This window comes from Homo sapiens, chromosome 12 (genome assembly GCF_000001405.40).
Source record: "Homo sapiens chromosome 12, GRCh38.p14 Primary Assembly".
NCBI classification, from domain to species: Eukaryota; Metazoa; Chordata; class Mammalia; order Primates; family Hominidae; genus Homo; species Homo sapiens.
Window position 1 is genome coordinate 10,777,452 of NC_000012.12, and position 308 is coordinate 10,777,759.

Genomic DNA, 308 nt, shown 5'->3' on the forward strand with positions numbered 1-308 from the left:
GCTCTGTGTCTCATTCAGGGGTTTTGATTAATTTTGAGTTCTAAGGGTACTGGAAATAACTGGATTAGCAAAGCATATGGTCTTCTCTGCTGTTCTCTTGGGATACCTATGGACCAATGGGGTATACCCAAAGTTTCTTTAGAAGATGAAATCTAAGGGATTCTGGAAAATATTCAGAAGACACACATTTCAATTTAATCATTGAAATGGCCTGCAGATAATTCTGAAAGTCCACATGCCATACAGGTTCTTTGTTCCTGTTTTGTTTTGTATGTAATTGGTATTATTTTAATCTTTTGTTTGATATT